The sequence below is a fragment of the Homo sapiens genome, chromosome 21 (assembly GCF_000001405.40).
Source record: "Homo sapiens chromosome 21, GRCh38.p14 Primary Assembly".
Taxonomy (NCBI): Eukaryota; Metazoa; Chordata; class Mammalia; order Primates; family Hominidae; genus Homo; species Homo sapiens.
The window spans coordinates 38,438,390-38,459,825 of record NC_000021.9 but is presented as its reverse complement, the minus strand read 5'-3'; the positions used below and the strand labels follow the sequence as shown (position 1 = coordinate 38,459,825).

General features: G+C 44.2%; 1 protein-coding gene across 9 annotated transcripts in view, besides 3 other annotated features; it reads left to right on the top strand.

Annotated features, from left to right (window-relative positions):
* Positions 1 to 5,035: part of a mitotic recombination region, noted in NCBI's record as "ERG recombination sub-region recombines with the TMPRSS2 recombination region. This represents the genomic range from 26 different ERG genomic breakpoints.", that runs on past the window's edge. NCBI's record gives the evidence for it as "EXISTENCE:nucleotide sequencing assay evidence [ECO:0000219][PMID:23447416]".
* Positions 1 to 21,436, top strand: part of ERG (ETS transcription factor ERG) — a 294,523-nt gene that overhangs the window by 201,958 nt on the left and 71,129 nt on the right. For 7 of the 9 annotated variants that reach the window (NM_001243432.2, NM_004449.4, NM_001136154.1 and 4 more), the window contains one exon: positions 14,205 to 14,422. The exons of the other annotated variants lie outside the window; for them this stretch is intronic. In NM_001243432.2, the coding sequence (NP_001230361.1) occupies positions 14,205 to 14,422 (218 nt within the window). The remainder of the gene's footprint in view (positions 1 to 14,204; positions 14,423 to 21,436) is intronic. 9 annotated transcript variants of the gene reach the window in all.
* Positions 10,739 to 11,415: an enhancer, noted in NCBI's record as "OCT4-NANOG hESC enhancer chr21:39820334-39821010 (GRCh37/hg19 assembly coordinates)". NCBI's record gives its function as "activates a minimal SCP1, AML or CMV promoter by ChIP-STARR-seq in naive H9 embryonic stem cells {active_cell/tissue: H9 hESC(naive)}" and the evidence as "EXISTENCE:reporter gene assay evidence [ECO:0000049][PMID:30033119]".
* Positions 20,311 to 20,810: an enhancer, noted in NCBI's record as "H3K4me1 hESC enhancer chr21:39810939-39811438 (GRCh37/hg19 assembly coordinates)". NCBI's record gives its function as "activates a minimal SCP1, AML or CMV promoter by ChIP-STARR-seq in naive H9 embryonic stem cells {active_cell/tissue: H9 hESC(naive)}" and the evidence as "EXISTENCE:reporter gene assay evidence [ECO:0000049][PMID:30033119]".

The following is a 21,436-nucleotide window of genomic DNA, read 5'->3' as shown; positions in this document are numbered from 1 at the left end:
TGGTTTTGGGTCATGGATGTAATCTAGAAGCAGCTAGACAAGTTTCTAAGTAGAAAAGGTGTTCAGTACATATTTGTTGAACTTATGACTAAGAGAATATTCTTATTCCTGGAAGATATGTGTGATTTCTAGTGGAGACTAGAAATGGCCTTTCTCTGAGGCAAACTTCTAAATCCTCTGAATAAAGGTATCTCTAGCCCATCTGACTCAGTCCCACACCCCTGGGCTGTGGAATAACCAGTTTAGGGGGTGATTAAAATGGCTACATAGGTACAGAAATGTTAACTTCAGGTTGTCAGTGTAGCAGAAGCAAAGATGTTTGTCGTGTTGTCTGTGAAGACGTGCTATAAAATCGTCCCCCAAAGTAAATTGTAATGGCAACCATGCCCTCAGATTGTTCTGGAGGATATAGACAGGGAATCAGACACTACTTTCAAAACTGTTACATAATAAATCTTACATTGGAAAACTGTCTTAGACCTGTTTAGAAATCTTGCATTCTCTGTCTTAGAACTTTCCCTCTTGAGCTGATAATTATCATCCAGTAATGACACTTATGTGGCCTTGGGAAACAAGTTATTAAGCATGCACCTGCCATCCCTCCAAGGCAGTTTCACCCTTCAAATTAAATGCGCTGCGCTTCCTGGCAGCGCTGAGGCCATTGGAGTGGCTCCTGAGTGATGGCTTGGAAGAAATGATAGCCTAGTAGAGAAGTGGCCCAGGAGAGTGCACAGAGGAAAGCTGACATTTAGAGAATGAGGAGAGAAAAAGGAGGGCATAAAGAGATGGGGGATGGAATTGTCAACCAAATAGGAGGAATAGCAGGAATATGGAAGCCAAAGAAAAGAGGGTTAAAAAAGGGGAGAGTGGCCAACAGTATGAACTGCTCTTGAGTAGGTAACAAAGAGACCAGCTGGGAGTGAATGTTTGAGGGAACCCCAAAAAGCTCACTCCTAATCGTGGCAGGACAGTGTCAGAACCAGACGGCAAGGTTGGAGAAGAGAAGAGAGCAGGAGATGAGAATCTGTTAAAGAGCTGTGAAATATTTAAGTAAGTAAGTATGGCCAATTTTTGGTTCCTTGCATCACCAGCTACCACCCCCACCTTCGGACACCCAGACCAACACACGACTCTTGCTTGAAAGCAAAGTATGAAGGTTAGAGACACTGACGTGAGTGAAACTAGACTGAACGTTTGCGAGATCCTGGATAAATAAATATTGGATATTTTTGTTGGATAAATATTGCTTGGATAAATATTGCGAAAGTGCATTGTGATTGCAGAAATACTGAATTGGCATCAGATTCATTAATAAAAATTCTGCCTGACATCTCACGTGTCAAGGCCCATGGGAGCCTGACTGGCCACTACTTGGTGCATTCTTTTTTTTTTTTTTTTTTTTGAGCCAGAGTCTCACTCTGTCACCCAGGCTGGAGTGCAGTGGCGCAACCTCAGCTCACTGCAACCTCCACCTCCCAGGTTCAAGCTATTCTCCAGCCTCGGCCTACCGAGTAGCTGGGATTACAGGCACACGCCACCACACCTGGCTAATATTTGTATTTTTAGTAGAGACAGAGTTTCACCATGTTGGCCAGGCTGGTCTCGAACTCCTGACCTCGTGATCTGCCCGTCTTGGCCTCCAAAAGTGCTGGGATTACAGGCACGAGCCACCATGCCTGGCCAGTGTGCTCTTTTACAGGGCCCAGGGAGCTCAGTGCTCCAGTCGGCTGGTTTTCCAGTTCAGGAGCTTAAGGCTTCAGATTCAGCAGTGGCAGAAGTGGTTTCCCAACTTCCAGCTGCCCTGTTCTTTGCACTTTTTTTTATTTTTAAGTCAATCTAAAATGAGTCTGTGTTCACAAATAAATAGCGACAAGTGCAAGTCTGCTAGAGTGGAAGAGAGCAAGTGCAAATTCTCTTTCCCTTTAGCTAAGTTGCTCTTTGAAGTAGGCGTAGCCCCATGACGCTCCCATAAGGCTTACTGTGCAGGTTGGATGAGTAGGCAACTTGGAAGGCCCCACCTGCTCTGCAAGGAGGTAGTCCTGCACAGCGCCTGGTGGTCAGATGTCCACTACTCACCTACCCGCCCACCCCACAGGTGGCTCTGTGCTGCTCAGAACCTGCACAGTGGTGCATAGCATTTCCCAGCTCTTGAAGCTTCCTTTTCTTCCTGGGAAAGATAGATGTGAACATCCATGACCTCACTTCCTCCACAAGGATGAATCTTAATAAGTAAAGAGGTCCAGTAAGGAGGCAATCTAAAGACCGAGGTTTAGACTCTGTGTACACGTCAAGATTTCAAGTCACCAGGCTGTTGGGCAGGCCTTGATGGTTTGGATATGAATGACTCTGCACACTTTTAAAGAGTATTTGTGACTTTTTTTTTTTTTTTTGAGACAGAGTCTTGCTCTTTCGCCCAGGCCAGAGTGCAGTGGCATGATCTCGGCTCACTGCAACCTCTGTCCCCCAGGTTCAAGCGATTCTCCTGCCTCAGCCTCCTGAGTAGCTGGGACTACAGGCATGTGCCACCACGCCCAGCTAATTTTTTGTATTTTTAGTAGAGATGGGGTTTCACCATGTTAGCCAGGATGTTTTCCATCTCCTGACCTCGTGGTCTGCCTGCCTCCACCTCCCAAAGTGCTGGGATTACAGGTGTGAGCCACCCCGCCCAGGCTTGTGACTTTCAAAGTAGACATATTTATAGAGGGGCTCAAGCCAGATGGCAAAAGAGCCCTATTGGATGTGATGTAAGTATGTGTAGTTTGAAATTGTTGGAGGGATTGCTCTCCTAGTTCAAATGTATTAGGTTTTGAGGTCAGCACTCCCAGAGTCATAAAAATCAAGTCTCACTGGCAACCAACTTGTTAGTGCATGAAAAGTGTTACCAGGACGGGGTCTACCCAGTGCTCATCTATGTCATAGGAAAAGCATGAGCTCAGCGTATAACATTAGCAAAGGGCTCTGATGACCTGGCTACTTAGTCCCCTTTCCATGCAGCAACCAGGATATATTTATGTGCTGGAAAAATCTTCTGAAAAGCACAGGCTTAGCATCCCAGCCCCAGGGAGTCAGACATCATCACTTACCAAGCTGAAGAAAGACCTTGGCAGGGATTGGACCCTCACAGTGGGTGAAGACTAACTCTTTCTACGTAAGTCAGCGTCTAAGAAAAAGAAAACGTCTGTGTTCATGTCTGCGTTATACAGTGTGTGGCCCATGCCAACAATGATGGGGATGGGGATAGAAAGCAAAAGAAGGAGACCCCTGGACCATCATGTGAATAGTGGAGACTTATTCATGTGCTCCTCTGTCTGCCAGAACCCCAGTTTCTACAAGACTTTCTGTTGGTATTACCATGTTGCCATGTGTTTTTTATTTTTTAAATTTTTTTATTTATTATTATTATTGAAGTGCTTTATGTGTAGAACAGATGCCATATTCCCATGCAAGAGAGTAGATCCTTTCCACACTTAAAAACATAACACTAGCTCTCAGGGTGCTGACTAGCTTCTTACCATTAGCACAGAAGGAGATACCTACAAGATTGAGGAAAATTAAAGTCTGGGGGCAGCAGGGAAAGACCCTGCAGTTAGCATCTAACCTGGATGCATAGGAACTTTTTAGCAACTCCATACATGGTAGATTTCTACCTTATCTGCATGTCTGCTCAGAGATGGAGGAGGTAGAGACTGCAGCCTGGCTATGGCTGAAAGAGGATGTTACTAGTTAAACAAATCGATCTCATTTTGGTGCAAAATGGAGTCTTAGAAAACATCAGTAGACCAGACCCTCATTTTAGACGAGGAGCTTGAAGACTTGGTACATGAGGGGCACGGAGTGGTGGAGCCCCATGGCCAGTGGCCCTGTGGTCTTGCGGCTTCTTCTTAAAGTGCCCATCCTGCATCCTGGCACGTGCATGTTGAACCTGGTGTGACACACCTGTCTGTGGGGAGGGGGGGGACCGTACCAATTATTTAAAAAATTAAGGCTGTTTTGACACCCCCACCCCCTCACCCCCGTCTTATGGGAAATTTTGAATTGAGTGTTTGAAGGCATGAGAGTGACACCTGATGAAAATTAGCTAAAAGCAGAGACAGAGTTGTGGGTGGAGGCCAGGACATCTGCTGCCCCTATCTTTTGCTTGCCAGGGTTTTCCATTGTGCCAGAATTTTCTCATGAATAAAATTCCTGGAATTTTATCGAAAACAATGAATCCATGTGTCAGAGATTCACAGATGAGACACATTCCAGATGCGTAGCACACTGTATTTTTAGCCTTTGTGTGTTTTGAAAGGGCCAAGCATAAAACTGCCGATTTTTCACGGAGCTCCTTCTGAAGAGGAGAGAGGTGGTGCACCACCCCTTCCCTGGTGTTCAGAGAAGGACCATGCCAATAGAAAAAAAGTGCAAGCAACTTTGCTACTCCTTGAGCTTGGCCTTTGTGTTTCTCAAGCCTTGAATCACCTGAGTTTCAACCTGGGCTTGTAAGTTTCAAAAATCACCAGGACAGAATGATGGTGTGAACCTCTTAGCCAGACTGCCATGGAAACACTTCCTCATAGAAGTTTATGAAAAATTCAACAATTTTTAGGGAAAGTTAACATAGAAAGCATTATGGATTCCACATCCTGGAAGAAAAGACTTTTCTTCAGAAGTTTGAGGGCTATCAACTTTGTGCCTTGTGCTATTCTAGGTAAAAAAAAAAAAAAAGAAAGAAAGAAAGAAAGAAAGAAAAAGAACATTATGTTATAAGACCATGGTATATCTATTAATTTATTATCTTGTTATGTAGAGAATACCAACAGCACGCTGGGGAGTGTACCAGGATTCATTCCTTCCTGCACAAAGCTTTGATTTAATTGACATTAAACAAACTAATGTAGAATTTGAATGGAAAACCCACAAAAGAACTGGACCAGGGACCAAAAAGGCTATAAATCAAAGTGACAGACGTGCTCTTGAAGTAAAAGATGCTAGATCTCCCTTCCCCTCTGTTAGGTAGATACTTGGTTTGAAAATCCAGTACTTACAAAAAATAAGTGATAATTTGCACACAAGAGACTGTGATTTTCCTTGCATCTGGCTTGTTAGAATAATATGACTAGAATGGATAATTCTGATGGTTCACATGCAGAGGTTTGGAGTCAGTCACATCACCCTTCTATCATATGATAATTTAAATACAATATTAAGATTTATGAAACCTGTTACACACACTAGATTATTTGGCCCATTTAACTGTCCTGGGAGAGAGCTGCTCGGCAGCTGGTTGCCATCAGTACCACCTTTATAGTTGAAGAAATTGAGAGTCAAAAAAGGATAATGCAGCACTTGTTGAAGTGAGCAGGCACCCAGCTCACCTGGGGAAGTTGTTACAAAGCAGATTCTGACTCAGCAGGGCTGGAGACTCGGAATCTGCATTTCTGGCAAGCTCTCAGCTCACACTTGGGGCAGGAAAGGGTTAAAGGATTTACCCAGGTGATTCCCAGAGCAAGGGCAGAGCCCAGCTTGAAACTCACATCTTCCATCTTCAGATCCCTATCCCTGGCTCCCGTGCTCTACCAGACGGTCTCCTATCCATTGGTACAGCTTCATGTTCATCCTCCACTGAGTGATTAAAAAAAGCAAAGAAAAACTTCTTTTTATCTCAAATGAATTATTTAAAACTAGATAAAAAATAAGGAAAAGGGTTTTGATGAATATTCGTGAGTAACGTATAACAGTGATTAGAGAAACAAAAACAAGTATTGAGTGTCAAGAGTAGAAACAGCCCTCTTAGAAGGATGTAAAGGAATAGTGAGTGTATTTTTTGCACCCATTCCAATGTAAAACATACAAACAGGAGGTTTCCACAGATGTTTTTATACTTTTTGCTCATCTCCAAAGAAGGAAAGAAGCCTACTGGGAAGAAAAAGTGATTCTTCTTCTTCTTTTTTTTTTTTTTTTGATGGAGTTTTTCTCTTGTTGCCCAGGCTAGAGTGCCGTGGCGCGATCTCAGCTCACTGCAGCCTCCCCCTCCCGGGTTCAAGCGATTCTCTTGTCTCAGCCTCCTGAGTAGCTGAGATTGCAGGTGCACACCACCACACCCAGCTAACTTTTTGTATTTTTAGTAGAGACAGGGTTTCATCATGTTGGCCAGCCTGCTCTCCAACTCCTGACCTCAGGTGATCCACCTGCCTCGGCCTGCCAAAATGCTGGGATTACTGGAGTGAGCCACTGCACCCAGCCAAAAAAGCGATTCTTTAAAGAAGAAAATAAGAAGCTATTCACATCACAGGCATGTTGTTTCTTAAACAGTTAAATGGCATTTGCCAGGGCAAAGAGTCCCAGTTCATTGTCCTTTCAAATGCATTCGAGGTTTATTCTGCATGGCACTGAGAAAACAGAGTTGTTTTAAAATGATGTTGGTTGACATTCTTGATCTCCCAAGGCTCATTTAAATCTAATTTTCATTATGTGGACATAACTATTCTTTCTTTAACATTTTTCTACCATGCTCCAATCTTTCACAATATTTCTAGAGTTTCTGCTTTCCAGATTGAATGCTCCCTCCTTCTTTTGCAAACGTTCATTTTCCAGTAAGTCTTATTTTGTTCATAGGTTGCTTAGCTATAGGAAGTCCCTATTTAAGCCTATGTGGATTGAAGGTGAAACTCTGCAATAATACGCTCTTTGGTAGTATGACTGCAGACATATTGCCAATGGCAATTATTTTCCAAACTCCCTGGAACTCCTGGGCGTTGGCTACACAATCCATTCATCTCACAAAAACACGTCTCTTCATTTGGATGTAATAGAAGTTTGTGGATCCCATTTATAGCATTATGATGGGGCTGTAATATCACCTGATGTCTTAGTCCTAGGGCTAATATGAACACCAACAAGCATTTGAGGTTAAGAAATTATCTTATTTCTAGAGGCAGACATACAGAGGAGCCAGCCCTGAAAATGCTTATATTTGAATAAAGGCAAGGCCAGGGGAGAAGTATGTGGGCAAAGAGAATTGCTGGCACCAGCCAGGCCTTCTCAGAGCCCTGAGAAAGTCTGTGAGTCCAGAGCCGGGAAAATTGGCTGAAGGACATGGAGGGGATGGATCCCCAGCTAAGTCTGTTCTGAAGGGATGTGCTGAGCATAGGGAAAAGCACCTTCTAGGATGAGAGAGGAAGGAGCAGAGGTGAAATGGGAAGAAGCCAGGTTCTCTGTATCTTTTAGGCAACATTTGCCCTAGTGGATATGATTAAAGATAAAGAATATCTGAAAGTCCTCTAAAGCGTTCTATTAATAAAGATAATAAGGATAAAGATTTTCATCTCTCCTTATTATCTTAGTATGTATTTAGTAATATGTATACATATGTATGATATTTTTGTATATACATTATGTATTGTATATCTGCATGTATTTCTGTAGGTATCTATTTGCATATATGCATACACTTATATATGTATTTGTGTATATGCATGTGCGTATCTGTATATATGTGTGTGTATGTATATATGTATTTGCGCATGTATGTATTTGCATGCATGCACACATGTATATGTGTACATATGTAAGCATGTGTATGTGTTTGTATATCTGTATGTGCAAATGTATCTGGACACTAGTTCTGGGTCTCATTTCTTAGCACTGGACTAGTGTTGTGAGTGGTGAAATTATTTGACACTGAAGTGATACCATATTGGAGAAATACTCTCTTTAGATGGACTTCATTTGCCTACATACATTTTTCCTTTGAGGTTAATCCAAGATTTTTTTTATAGTTTTGAAGGACTAAAATTGCAATGTGTTAAATTAGAAAAACGTGAACACAAAGCTAGATGCTGCATTTAATATACGATGTTAATACTTCCTTCTCTGAAGAATTAAGAAGAAAAGAAAATCATATCAAGAAGGGGCAAAAATGATCATACCCAGCTTTGTGAAGCTTCTTTCACTTACCACGTTTCGCTTTTTTGTGTGTTGTAAATAAAAGACACACTGGTCAGATGAAGATTCTTGTTTAATGAGATACTGGTGGCATCAGAATTGCAAAAGTGCACACATTTAGAATAAAAACTCCTGAAGGACTGGAGTATCTTTGTCAGGCTTATGGTGGGAGAGCAGAGCTTTCTCTAAGTGCATTGTCTATTTTGTTTGTGTTGTTTTTTCCTCCTCCAAATACAATTAGATACTAGACCTTTTAGAAGCATCTACTGCATATGTGCTGCCTTGAAGAGAAACTATAAACAATAGAGCCTGCGACAGCCTAATAGATAGATTTCCAATATCCTTAGGTCTGCAGACATCCACTAAAGGCCGCCCAAAGTGGCATAGGCTCCAGCATATTTATAAATGGTACTCCTACCTGTCCTAGTTTTCCTGCATAGTACTCATTAAGAGAAGGCAGGCATCCACCTGCAATGAACACATCCCAACACCTGGCCATGTCTTTGTGTCTGAATAATCTGATTAATCAAAGAAAAGAACAAGGTTGTTGATTTAAGCCATTGCAAAAGAAATGATTAACTGTATGCAGGGCCCATTGCTACACATCCCCTAGGCTCATAGAAGAGCATGGTATACCTAGAGAAGTCCTTACTGGTTCCCAGCACTCTCCGTTTACCATCCAGATCCTTTATTCCATCCCAGATCCAGGGATTCTGGACACTTATCCCTTCATCTTTCTTCTGTCTCTTCCCTCTACCAGCCTCTCTCTCTCTGTCTCTCTCTAGGTGATTCCATCTCTCATGGCAAGAGCAGGCACCAAAACACTCCACCGTGTGACTTTTCTTAATCCAACTTCTTCCTTCCAGTAACAGCCAGGTAGTGGCCAGTCTACAGCCTTGGGGAATGATTCCATTCACAGACACAAACCCTGTTTCTGCCTCATCCTCACTGTTGATGTTACTTCTCTAATCGCACTTTCTGATGGGTGGGCAAGAATCACAGCTGACCTTATAGGACAATTGTAAGGATTAAATGATCATTTTTCATAAAATGTAAGATGTCATTGGATATAAAATGTCCCATTATTTTATCTGCCATCAGAGAAGAAGAAATGCTGCCTGATACCTAGGATAAGCCTTTCATTTTCATATTTCAGAGCTGATAAAATGTGACAAGTGGTGTATCTTGTAATCAACAAAATAGAATTTAAGAGGATATTGCATGAAAGTGCTTAAGGTAACCTGGTTTATTTGGTGGATAAGCTATTTATGAAAGTGGTTAAAAGATGGCAATATAGGGAGTTAAGTGATGTACCAAATTCTGCGTGGTTATATGTGAGGGAAATTTAAGGAAGGGTTTTGTATTGGATTGTAATGGGATTAAAACTGACAGAAAAAGTAGGCTATTGATTGAAGATGATGCTGGCTTCCTAAGTGAATGATCTCCACACTGTGTTGTGATAGCAGCAAGGACTTCTTTAAGATTTTTTTATTTTTTATTTCTTATTTTATTTTATTTTTTTGAGATGGAGTCTCACTCTGTCACCTCGGCTGGAGTGCAGTCGCGTGATCCCGGCTCACTGCAACCTCCGCTTCCCGGGTTCAAGCAATTCTCCTGCCTCACCCTCTTGAGTAGCTGGGACTACAGGCGCCCACCATCACGCCTGGCTATTTTTTTTTCTTTGTTTTTTTTTTGGATTTTTGTATGGTCTCGATCTCCTGAACTCATGACCCACCCACCTTGGCCTCTCAAAGTGCTTGGATTACAGGGGTGAGCCACCATGCCCGAACCAAGATTTTTTTTTTTTTAAGCATGATCATGATCATACAATTCTTGTTCCACTTAGTTGTTCCATTTGTTTTTCATAATTATCAAATAATTATAGCATATAAGACTTGAAAACATTGAAGGTGGGTTTGATAATCCAATTCTCGAGAGGCCTAGTTCTGGCCATCTTCCTAATTTTTGAAAACCACGAAAGGACCATGGATGCCTTTGCTTACTCCAGATGTGAAATTCACCTGACCATTCTTAAAGATTTTCTCAGTTTCAACACTTTACCACTCCCAAATTTTCAAAAGAGGTTAAGTATGATGGATTCTCTGTATTAACAATGTAATATTTTTATGAGCTATAAGGATCACAAATTAGAATCAATTTTGGGCCTTTATTTTCTAATACTTTGGTTGAGAAATAGGCATCTTGCAAAGTATTCATCTGTTATAGAAAGGCATCAGGATTCCTGAAATACTTTGCTGAAAATGTCAGTATGCATTCAACTTTGTTAGTTTTCTTTTTCAGTGTTCTAATGTATTTTGGATCCTTTTTTGTACTCTAGTTACTTGAAAATAGATGCATATTTTAGAGTTATAATATGAAATATAACCTGGTGGGACCTCCCTTCATTTCTGGAACTGTTATCCCATGACCAAAATCCAAAGGAATGGTCCTCATGTGTTATTGGTATATTCCGTATTGAAATGAAATAATCAATACTACAGTACTAACACAGTAGTACCTTTTGTTTGGGGGTAATTTGCTTAGAATTATGTGTTTCTCGTAAGTTATTTAAAAATGAGCTTGGTAGCCTGCCATTTGCCTGATGGGAATATCCCAACTTTCCTGGAGCTACAGAAAAAAACACCCCACACATTGGCAAACACCAATCTAAAGTTCAGGTCTTTTTATAGTAACATAGAAGCAGGCATATGAAATGATTATGCCACATATCTGCCAGATTTTGACGTTTAAAATATTCTCTGTTATAAAGCCACTGAAGCAGATCCCAAGCCTTGTGGCTGGCCAGAGTTTCTGCAATAACAATCTATACATGCTAACTAAGGCAGCTGCCTACCTTGGCCGGCAGGTAGGCAGGCAGGTAAGTAGGTAGGTGAGATCTGCTAGTTATAAAGAGGAGGAGCCAGGCTGCAGGGAAGGAGAGACATGTCAGTCAAGGCCAGGAAGTCTCTCCCAGAGCTGGAGTTAAAGAACTCATGTGGTCCTGATTAGCAGCCTGTGTTCAGCACTCTTTTTCTGGTTTTAATCCTACTGGGCTAGATCCTCTCTCCCCTTTGAAGTCACAGGGCTGCCAGGCAGGGAGGGCCCTATGCAGCAGCGTGTGTCCATTCAAGCTTTAACCGAAGGGATGATGAAACCTGCCAACAGCCAAGTCAAGTGGGAGGACAAAGATGTGGCAGGGCTGTGCCTTGGTTTGCTTCTGAAGAGCAGCACTTAACTTTAGTGACCGCTGTTGTGGGAATGGGTCTGTGAAAACCCCTCAGCTTCTTCTTACTCCCAAAATGTGTATGTGAGAGAGATTTTCTTTATTCATTTGTTTCCTTTTCCTGAGCTGTACTTCATCCTAGGTGTTCAGCAGCCTTTGTTGAGTGACAATCAACAAAGTCTTTGGGGCATAGTTTGGGTTGCTCTGTCTTTTCAAAATGTGGACTGTATTTCACCTCTTTTGAAGTGTTTATCCTGAAGCTTCCTTATTTTCAGAATTTTTCCCTTCTAATGAACAAAAGCAACTGAGGGGTTGCTTTCAATATTCTGAATTATATTCCCTTCCTCATTTTTGTGCAATATTAGCTGTGAGAAGAATTTTAAGATGCAAAAAAAGGAGGCATGCCTCCCCCATCTCTAGCATTTCTGAGGGTTTTTTCCTTCCTAAATCGATCTCAATTAACTTTGATTTCTTTCTTTAGAAAACCATGTGCTGAAATAATGCTTTGCCAGATGTGAGAATGGATTCCTTCCCCTACAAACACACACTTAAGCTTCATTTTAGTTCTAATATTTTGGTCTTTTTTTTATTATTCAAACTTACACTACATTTTTGTGGCTATTGGCTTTGTTTGCAGAAGTAAGCTTACTTTATCTTGGAGAAATACTAATACTTTAAAGTTATTGCTTGTTTGTTATTGTTGCAGCCATTTCCTTTTTAGTTTGTAATTTTAAATTTAGCCTGTTTCTTATATATATAACCTGTTTTCGCCAATTTCTGATATAAATCACACATTTGTTCATGTTTCTCATCATGGGTGAGCCAAAGCTAACATTACATAGTGTGTTATTCCCCTGCGAGCCTTGGTCGAGTCTCAGGCCCAGGAAGGAGAGAGGCAGCAGCCATCAGCTCTGTTTCCTGTTCTGAGCCTGTAAAACACACTAGCCAGTGCCACCATGGGAAGGGAGTATCTGTTTTGCAAAAATTTTTTAATAAGGTCTAATTTTTGTCTTAATTAGCATGACTAAGTCTATGGTGCTGATTTTACTTTGAAACCCACATCTATGTGTTTAGATTCCTTGTTTTGGCCACTCAATTGTGACTGGAAGAGAAAGCCATGAATTTCAGGTTCCCTAACATCTAGGATGCCGTTTCTGTACTGTCAACTTCTGTGTCACTGCCTCGTATCATTTTTGGTTGTTGATGAGTTTGATTTTGCTGTCTATTCAAGATGACTTTTTTCCCTTGTGCCTGATTCTGGTTCTCTGTCTGGCCTACCTGACTCTTTGGTACATTTTGCATTACTGTTTGGACAGCAGGCTTAGTCTTTCCCAGGGTGTCACAGGGCTGTAATTCTACAGATACTTATGGAGTCCAGGATGGGGGCTTTTGCTTTAGCACAGACACCTGACCACCACTTTGAGAGACAGAGGTTTGAGTTTGTTTTGATTCTTCCTCCTTGCTGATTCTCAGTGCCGTGTGTCTGGCAAAGAAGTTTGTGCACTTGGGAAGCTAAGGAAAAAACTTGGTCCTGGGACAGGTGGAGGATCGAGCGACAGAGTAGATGTGGAGTTGGGGGTGATTGTTTCCTAAAAATTCTGATCCTTCTGGGTGGAGAGGAAGCTCTCCATCTCAGAAGGGCTGCTTCTAGGGTGTGATTACTGATGGGAAGCACCCTTATTTATGTAAAGGTCATCTCAGAGAAGGGGAAGAGGGTGCTAATTTAAACACATGTCCCAAAGGAAAAAAATGTCACAAAGGGCATCATAGGGCTGTGGGGGCAAGGAGAAGGCAGATGGTAATACACAAGTCATTCCCATCACTAATCCCCTGGTTGATCATGGCCAGCTCATTCAAGATTAGCTCTAGACCTTTCTGGGTCTCAGATTTCTCATTTGGAGATGACAAGTTTGGACTGGAAGGGTCTGCGCAGCCCACACTCCCCTGCCTCCCCTGCTCTGCCTCCAAAGTTCTTTTCTTTTTCTTTTTTTTTAAATAAAAATGTGTGGCCCAACTAGCCTTTGCTTCTCACTAGTTGATGTCAATACTGAGGATGCCAAAGGACTAATATAAAAATGAGCATTCATGTGGAATTCTTTTTGTCTGTTATAAGAACCAAAATTGGATTGTATCACAACAGCTCTGTGTCATTGCAGCACAAGCCATCATTTAAGTCGTTGAAATTTCCCAAACTTGCCGTTGCTCATTGGCTGTAGAATATAAACATAGCCATTGGCTAACCACTTGTTTGACTTAAAACCACGAAAAATGATTGATCCAACAATGACAAATTGCTATTTCTTCTCACCAAATCATGCAAAAGAGCGAAGATATTAATTGAAAGTAAGGGGAAAAAAGAGCTTGTCAGTGATCCAGATATTTTAAACATCCTGCTGTTTGGAAGCATCTGGATACTTCACAGCTTTTTTTTTTTTTTTTTTTTTTTTTTTGGTTCATTTATCATCCAGATGCTCACCATCATGGAAGCACCACTTGAAACTGTACTTCGGCTAATAACTTAGAGTGGAAACGTTTGTATCTTTGGTTGGTTGCCCTTTGGTGCTCCATTGATCCCTCTGTCTTCCTCTAAGTCCCTCTTCCGCAAAATCCCCAGGAATGTGGCAATTTTGCCAGATGCTTAGGTGTTGGCCTTCAGATTTCTTTTTTTTAATCCTCATGACCGCTCTGTACCCTGTCTGCTTGAATTATAGATTGCATTTGTCAAATAGTGACACATGCAATTGGATGTCTTCTAAGACCTTTGAAATTCAACTTCCTTAAGTTGAGATTAAAGTGGATATTCTGCTGCCCTGCCACAGTCAAGCCTGGGATGCTTCGAGACCTGCATAAAAGTTTTTCTAGGCTGGCATTTCTAACTCTTACTGTCCCGAGGAAAGAAAAACAAGCTACTTTTTTCTTCTGAAAGGTAGAAATGGAGACCATAAAAACGATCTAAAATGTGGTCCCAGTTAGAAAGGACTCTGAAATCAACAACTTTTTGAAACATGACTGTCTGTTGGAGTGTCTTGAATTATGTGTTTCTTTGGGCATTCAGGAAGCCTTATCAGTTGTGAGTGAGGACCAGTCGTTGTTTGAGTGTGCCTACGGAACGCCACACCTGGCTAAGACAGAGATGACCGCGTCCTCCTCCAGCGACTATGGACAGACTTCCAAGATGAGCCCACGCGTCCCTCAGCAGGATTGGCTGTCTCAACCCCCAGCCAGGGTCACCATCAAAATGGAATGTAACCCTAGCCAGGTGAATGGCTCAAGGTAAGGAGACTTCCGCCCCTTTCTCTCCCTGACCTCCCATTTTCCTATCCTTTGCAAAGGCAAAGTGGAAGTCAGTCATGCTTCTCTAAAGATTGACTTAGAAAGCAAGGCCACTGTGCCTGTAATCCCAGCTACTCGGGAGCCTGAGGCAGGAGAATCACTTGAATCCAGGAGGCAGAGGTTGCAGTGAGCCGGGATCATGCCACTGCACTCCAGCCTGGGCGACAGAGCAAGACTCTGGCTAACAAAAAAAAAAAAAAAAAAAGAAGAAGAAAGAAAGAAAGAAAGGCCATTGAACGGTGACGTTGGACAGCGCTGGGAAAATGTGTTCTCCAGTGGTTTGTGTAGAGGATGGAGTTTGTAAAATTAGTAGTATATTTACCAAGAACTCTCTTTGAAGATGTGTTCAATTCTATTTCCCAGGCACGAGGGCTCTGTGGGAGGGGAGCCTTGCCCACATATGGCAGAATTCATCTGAGGTTTGATTGCCTGGAAAATAATGCCGTCTTATGTTTTCACAAAGGGAGAGTGTCAGCTAGTGGCCAGGCAGTGCGGCGTATGTCCAAGCCACTTGAATTTGCTAGTGGATCTCCATTGTCTGCCCTCCACCCTCACCCCACCCTCTGATCTCTGCGGTCCTCTTCTCTTAATGCCTGCTGTTTGTTTTTTTTTTTTTTCCTCCTCTTAGCTTACACATAAAGCCCTCTCCAGTGTCTCCCATAATTATTAGCTTCCCTGAGTTTGTCATGAACATACAACTGTCACGTAAAATGTATTACCAAATGCAGAACTGTCCCTGGCCCTCAAAAAGTGTTGAATTCTGTGTAGTTTTGAAAAGTAAAATTAATTTCAATTATGATCTAATACCCCATATATATTCAGGAAAAAGAATATCAAATCTTAGGATAAAGAACAGATTATTTCTTCGAAATGTTGCATAATCTACCATCAGGTCATAAGAACAGCTCACATTTTCGGAAACTTTACTGTGTACAAAGCCCTTTTATATCCAGTAGCCCCTCAGTCCTCCGAGCAGCCCCTCATGAAGTATACTTGACCCCATTTGATGGATGAAGAAACCTGTGATCAGGCATTTCCAGTCTGACCCCAAATCACCACTTAAATGGAATCAGAGTTTGGATTTAAACCAGGAGTGTTTGACTCCACACCCTGAGCATTTTCCACTCTGTTGAAGCTGTAATGGGGCCTTTTTGTTACATATATGTTTTAACGCTAAAAAGGTTTATTATAAGTGTCATAGTTTATAAGTCTGGAAACGGTTGCGTCAATTCCTAGTGTGGTGTTAATGAAGGTGCCAAGTCACAGTGTCCTAGAGGGAATGTCAACGGCAAGGCTGGACGTGCCAGATGGGGAGATGGGAGATGCCAGAACACTCCTCCACTCTGAGAAGTCAGTTTGCGTCTGTGCATCTGCTTCTTGAAAGTGCACTGGCTCTGATGCTACATATTGCCACCGCACTGGTCCTTTAAGTGGAACTCGAGGCAGGCCCATCTTGAATCTCATCAGGAGATTCATTCCTGGAGTTACAGAAGGACCTGGGTAGAAAATGCAATGATGGGTCCAGGACACCAAAGTTGTGGGAAATTAATGATTACATGTAAATATTTTTGAATCTCATCAAGAGATTCATTCCTGGAGTTACAGAAGGACCTGGATAGAAAATGCAATGATGGGTCCAGGACACCAAAGTTGTGGGAAATTAATGATTACATGTAAATATTTTTTACCCATAAATCCTATGCATTTGATACAATGTTTCTGTTGATCATTAACTATATATATTTCTGAAACACAGAAGAATGCAGGGTAATCATGTTCTAAAGAATGCAGCAGTGTTTATGCAGTAGATCAGTTGGTGGAACACAGCCTGGAAACACTGAATGAATTCTGTTTTGGGTGGGGTCATATGATCCCATATATGCCAGCGTGATCACGGCGGAGACACTAAGACCGGGACACATTTCTAAAGCTTTTCTTCTGCAGAGGCTAATTTCTACCTATGAGCAATTCACCTGCAGGGAGGAGGGGGATGTTGGAAGGTGGGGAGAGAGGAAGGAAACATCTCAGACAAAAGGGCACTGAGATGATTTCCGATGGACAACAGGCAGAGTGAGCCATGTCCTGGCCCTTGTTTGAGAGTCTGGCCTGGGGCCAGTCTGGATTCAGCAAGCCTCCGAAGGGAGACTGAGTGAGGAGGCGAGAACAGTGCTCCAGAAATGAAAGTTTCTATTGTTCTCACTGTGTTACTCCCGAATTTAAAATAAAATAAGCATTCTGGCCGGGCGCAGTGGCTCACGCCTGTAATCCCAGCACTCTGGGAGGCCAAGGCGGGTGGATCACGAGGTCAAGAGATCGAGACCATCCTGGCTAACATGGTGAAACCCTGTCTCTACTAAAAATACAAAAAATTAGCCGGGCGTGGTGGTGGGCACCTGTAGTCCCAGCTACTCGGGAGGCTGAGGCAGGAGAATGGCATGAACCCGGGAGGCGGAGCTTGCAGTGAGCCGAGATCGCGCCACTGCACTCCAGCCTGGGCGACAGAGAGAAACTCCATCTCAAAAAAATAAAAATAAAAAATAAAAAAATAAGCATTCTGTTTGTGGGAGAAGTGCAAACACTGTTTTCCTTAGTGTGAGCCTGTGATGCCCCTTGGTAGCTGATGTCTCCTCTCCCTCCTGGCCAGGCATGGGGAAGCTTTTCCAGCCTGTGTTGTGACCCCAGGGGTACAGGTTGGGAGTTTGGGGTAACCCTGAGCCCCAGGCAAGGGGCTACAGTCTATAAGAAAGAAAGACACCAGGAGCTTCAGTCCATAAGAAAGACACCAGGGCAGTTCCGCCCCAGGGCCCTCAGCGCAGCAGACTGGGGAAAGCTCTTGGGTGGTTTTTCTGTCAGGCAAGTGAAAGGCTGGTGCTGCGCTGAGGGTCTCTTTCCGGGAAACATCTTTTTCAGGGGAACTGGACATTTTCTTTCTTTTTTATTTTTCTTTTAGATGGAGTTTTGCTCTTTTTTACCCAGGCTGCAGGGAAGTGGCACGATCTCAGCTTACTGCAACCTCCACCCCCCGGGGTTCAAGCGACTCCCCTGCCTCAGCCTCCTGAGTAGCTGGGATTACAGGCATCCGCCACCATGCCTGGCTAAATTTTGTATTTTTAGTAGAGATGGGGTTTCACCATGTTGGCCAGGCTGGTCTCGAACTCAATCCACCCATCTTGGCCTCTCAGATTGCTGGGATTACAGGTGTTAGCCACCGCGCCCGGCCTTGACATTTTCTTTCAAGGAAACAATGGGAACTTTAAGAGTTCCTCTCTCAGGGCTCATAGAATTCTAACATTGCCCAGATTGCTGCCGTCATAAACTTTCAATGCTGTTCCAGCTCCTAAAGCATCGGTGATGTGTTTTGGTGGGTGGATACCGAGTGAAGACCATCATGTCATCCTCTTCATCCTCCGGGTCCTCCGGTGGGTTCGGTGATGTCGGTTTGGCAGGTGCTGTTCATGAAGGGAACAAGGTGGACCTCATCTGCCTTCAATCCAGGCCTACGTGCCTCCTTTGAGGAAAAGGGCAGCTGGGTTGTAATAGGCAGGGGAGGAACACTGGCTGCAGAGGCTGCCTCCGCTTTGAGGCATCTAGCAATGTACAGATGTCAACCAGTCACCAAGTGTCATCGTCCCCTACCCACAAGGATGTTCCAGGGGGAGGGAGAGGAGTGGCTGACACTAATCCCCTTTGTAGAAGAGAAAGATACAGAGCTCATGCCCGTCTCCCCCAGAGCTCAGTGTGTCTCCTGGCATTGTGTCTGGGTGCTGGCCTGGTGTATCAGTTGGGATTCTCTAGAGAAATAGAACTTATAGGATATTTTTACATTTTAAGATATTTATTTGAAGGAATTGGCTAATGCAGTTGTGGGAGTGGGCAGGTCTGAGATCTGCAGGGGAGGCTGGCAGGCTGGAAAGTAGGCAGAATTTCTTCTGCTCTGGAAACCGCAGGCTTTGTTCTTAAGGCCTTCAACTGATTAGACAAGGCCCACTCACATTATCTGACATCATCTCCTTTAGTCAAGTTCAACTGACTAGCTACCTGTGCAAATGCCTTCCCAGTACAACCTCAGTTAGCATTTGATTAAGTCACTGGGTGCTACGGCCTGGCCAAGTTGACACAGGAAACTGACCCCCACACCTGACTTCCAGGGATGCTGCACTCATCAGTGACTGGTGACCCATTGTACTTTTTAGATCTCCAAACCAGTGTGCTCTGGGGGGCCAGTTCACCGCTGCTGCTGGAGCTCAGCCTGACTGGACAGCGGGTGGTAAAGGGGGTGGCGTGTCAGGTCAGAGGTTCACTAGGGGGCTGCTCAAGCTCAGTGATCTGAAAGAATTGAAACATAAGTGGTGAGTCAGTGTTCTGCTATTAACAATCCAACGGGCTTCCTGAAGGGGAATGGGGGAAAAGAAAGCTGAACAGTTATCAGTGGAGCTAAGACTCATCTCAGCCAGAGGTTGGAGGCAGCCTTGGGGCAGACAAAGGACTGCCTGGGATCCCATCCGCAGGCTTTGCTGACTCACTGTGGGCTTTTTTTTTTTTTTTTTTTTTTTTTTGAGACAGTTTTGCTCTTGTCACCCAGGCTGGAATGCAATGGCACAATCTCGGCTCACTGCAACCTCTGCCTCCCGAGTTCAAGCGATTCTCCTGCCTCAGCCTCCCGAGTGGCTAGTTTTCATATTTTTAGCGGAGATGGGGCTTCACCATGTTGTCCAGGCTGGTCTCGAACTCCTTACCTCAGGTGATCCACCCGCCTCAGCCTCCCAAAGTGCTGGGATTACAAGCGTGAGCCACCATGCCCGGCCTCACTATGGGCTCTTTACGAATGTCAGGTGCAGCTCCATAAAAGGGAACATGGGCGTGATTCACTCTGCTTTATTTTGGACACCGTGAACCAGCACCGGGCTGTGTCAGCCCAGCTCGAGGGGCCAGGGCAGAGGCAGGGTTCACGGAGACGCAGATTCTGCCACGGAGGGGCTCACAGATGAGATGCTGCAGAGCAGTGTGTGGCTGCCTGCCTCTGGAGGAGCCCCGCCAGGAGTGCAGCTCCTCAACGCTCCACTACCTGCACCTGCATCCTTCCAGACTCGGAAGCCCCAGGCCAGCTGTGCCAGGGAGTTAGCCCATCTCCTGGCCCCTGGCCCAATAGCTTCTTCTAATTGTCCCTCCTCTTAGCTTATGCATAATGGGCTTTCCTGTAGTGCACATGCCACTTGAAGTCAAGTCCAAGGGGAAGTTACGTAAGTCAAATATTACTCTTTGGCTAGAACTTGTGGGCTGTTACCTTTGTGGCCCCTGACTATCTTGCAGACACCTCCACGGGAGAAGTGCACTCTCTGCAGCTTAGGTCTTTCCAGAACATGGCCCACCTCCTTCTGCCTAGAATACCCAGCTTGGGAATAGTGCCCTCTGTCCATCCCTATCCATCCAGTACCCACGGAGAAAAAGGCCATGTGCTTTGAGAGAAAGGAAGGACTTAGTTCCCAACCGAATAGTGGAATTCTACAAAACCTCAGTCCTAACGTGCTTACAAGCTCCTGAAATGAAATACAAGTGGTGAAACGAGATCTGTTGCCATTATAATAGAGTTTCTGTAAAGCATAATAAAAGAAAAACAGGAGAGAAAGGAACCACTGCTTTGCGAGCCAACTGGGATGTCCTTGTGGGTTTGGCTTGGCCACTGCCAGATCAAACAGCAGCATTCTTGCAGACAGTAATCTAATTGCACGTTGTGTAGACACAGGACATCATTTTTCAGCTTCGGTGGTCCACAGCCACCCTCTCCCTTTCTTCACTCTAGCCTCACGCACCAGAAAGCCCCAAGTGTTCACACAATGGAGAACTGTCAGTGTGTGGCCAAACTAAAACCAGCTGTTTTCCTGTGCCATCCACACCAAGGGCCTGGCTGGGAGTTTCAGCGCCTGCTCAGCCTCTCGTGAGCTCCCTACCAATGCCCTGAATTTGCTGTGAGGTCCCCAAAGCTCAAGTCATGATAGACTAGCAGGATAAGCCAAGAGGTAACACCTGCTCACTCATGGTCCACAAGCAAACTGTCTTCTCGTGAGCAGGCTGGCAGGTCTGTGCAGAGCAGGCTGCTTTTCCTCCATCTGAGCATCCCCAGCTCAGGCCAGCCAGATCACAGGCAGCTTACACTAAGTGGCACCTTCCCCTTTCCACAGGCGATGGCGATTTCGTGAAGCCCACCTGGAGGCTCACTGCAGGTGGAACTCAGTCAATTTATGTGCCATGCTGTGAGTCCCCCCTCAGCCCAGTCTGCAGGCCACCTGGAGCCATTGCCATGTTTGATTCTGTTGAGTGAGGGTTCCCCCGGTGTGGTGATTCTCAGCGTGGGCTCCGGGACCAGCAGCATCACCTCCACCTGGGAGCTTGTTTGAGATGCGGCTTCTTAGGCCCTGCCCTAGAATCGGAAGAGACCTGGGTGGCAGCCCAGCACGCTGTGTTTGAAGGAGCCCTCTGCGGGATTCCGATGCCTGGTAGTCTGAGAACCACTGCTCTGTTGCACGATCCAAGGAGATGAAAAATGAGAAAGCCCAGCAGCTGGGTAAAGGTGACCCACCCAGCGAATGATCTGGGAGGATCTACGCGGAGGTGGGGTTGTTCCCCAGAAGTCCTTGCCTGAGTTGAGAAATACCTCCTTCCCTCCCGCCACATTGGCGCTTTGCCCAGCTGGGCCTGTGCAGCGAGAGACAATGCTATCTGGGCCTTGCCTCTCTCTGGGATAGATTCATTGCATGCCATGAATAACTCCAGCCTCGGGTCAGATAGCAGGATGTTTTATAGATGTTATTTAAAAAACATGCCATTTGTCATGTGATGGAGATGAGAAAAAGTAGGGAGTATCTGCTGGGTCCATCAGGGCCTTAGACATACTGTTTATGCGTGGAGTCATTCATTCATTCAATGAATATTTATTGAGCACCTACTTTCCTAGTC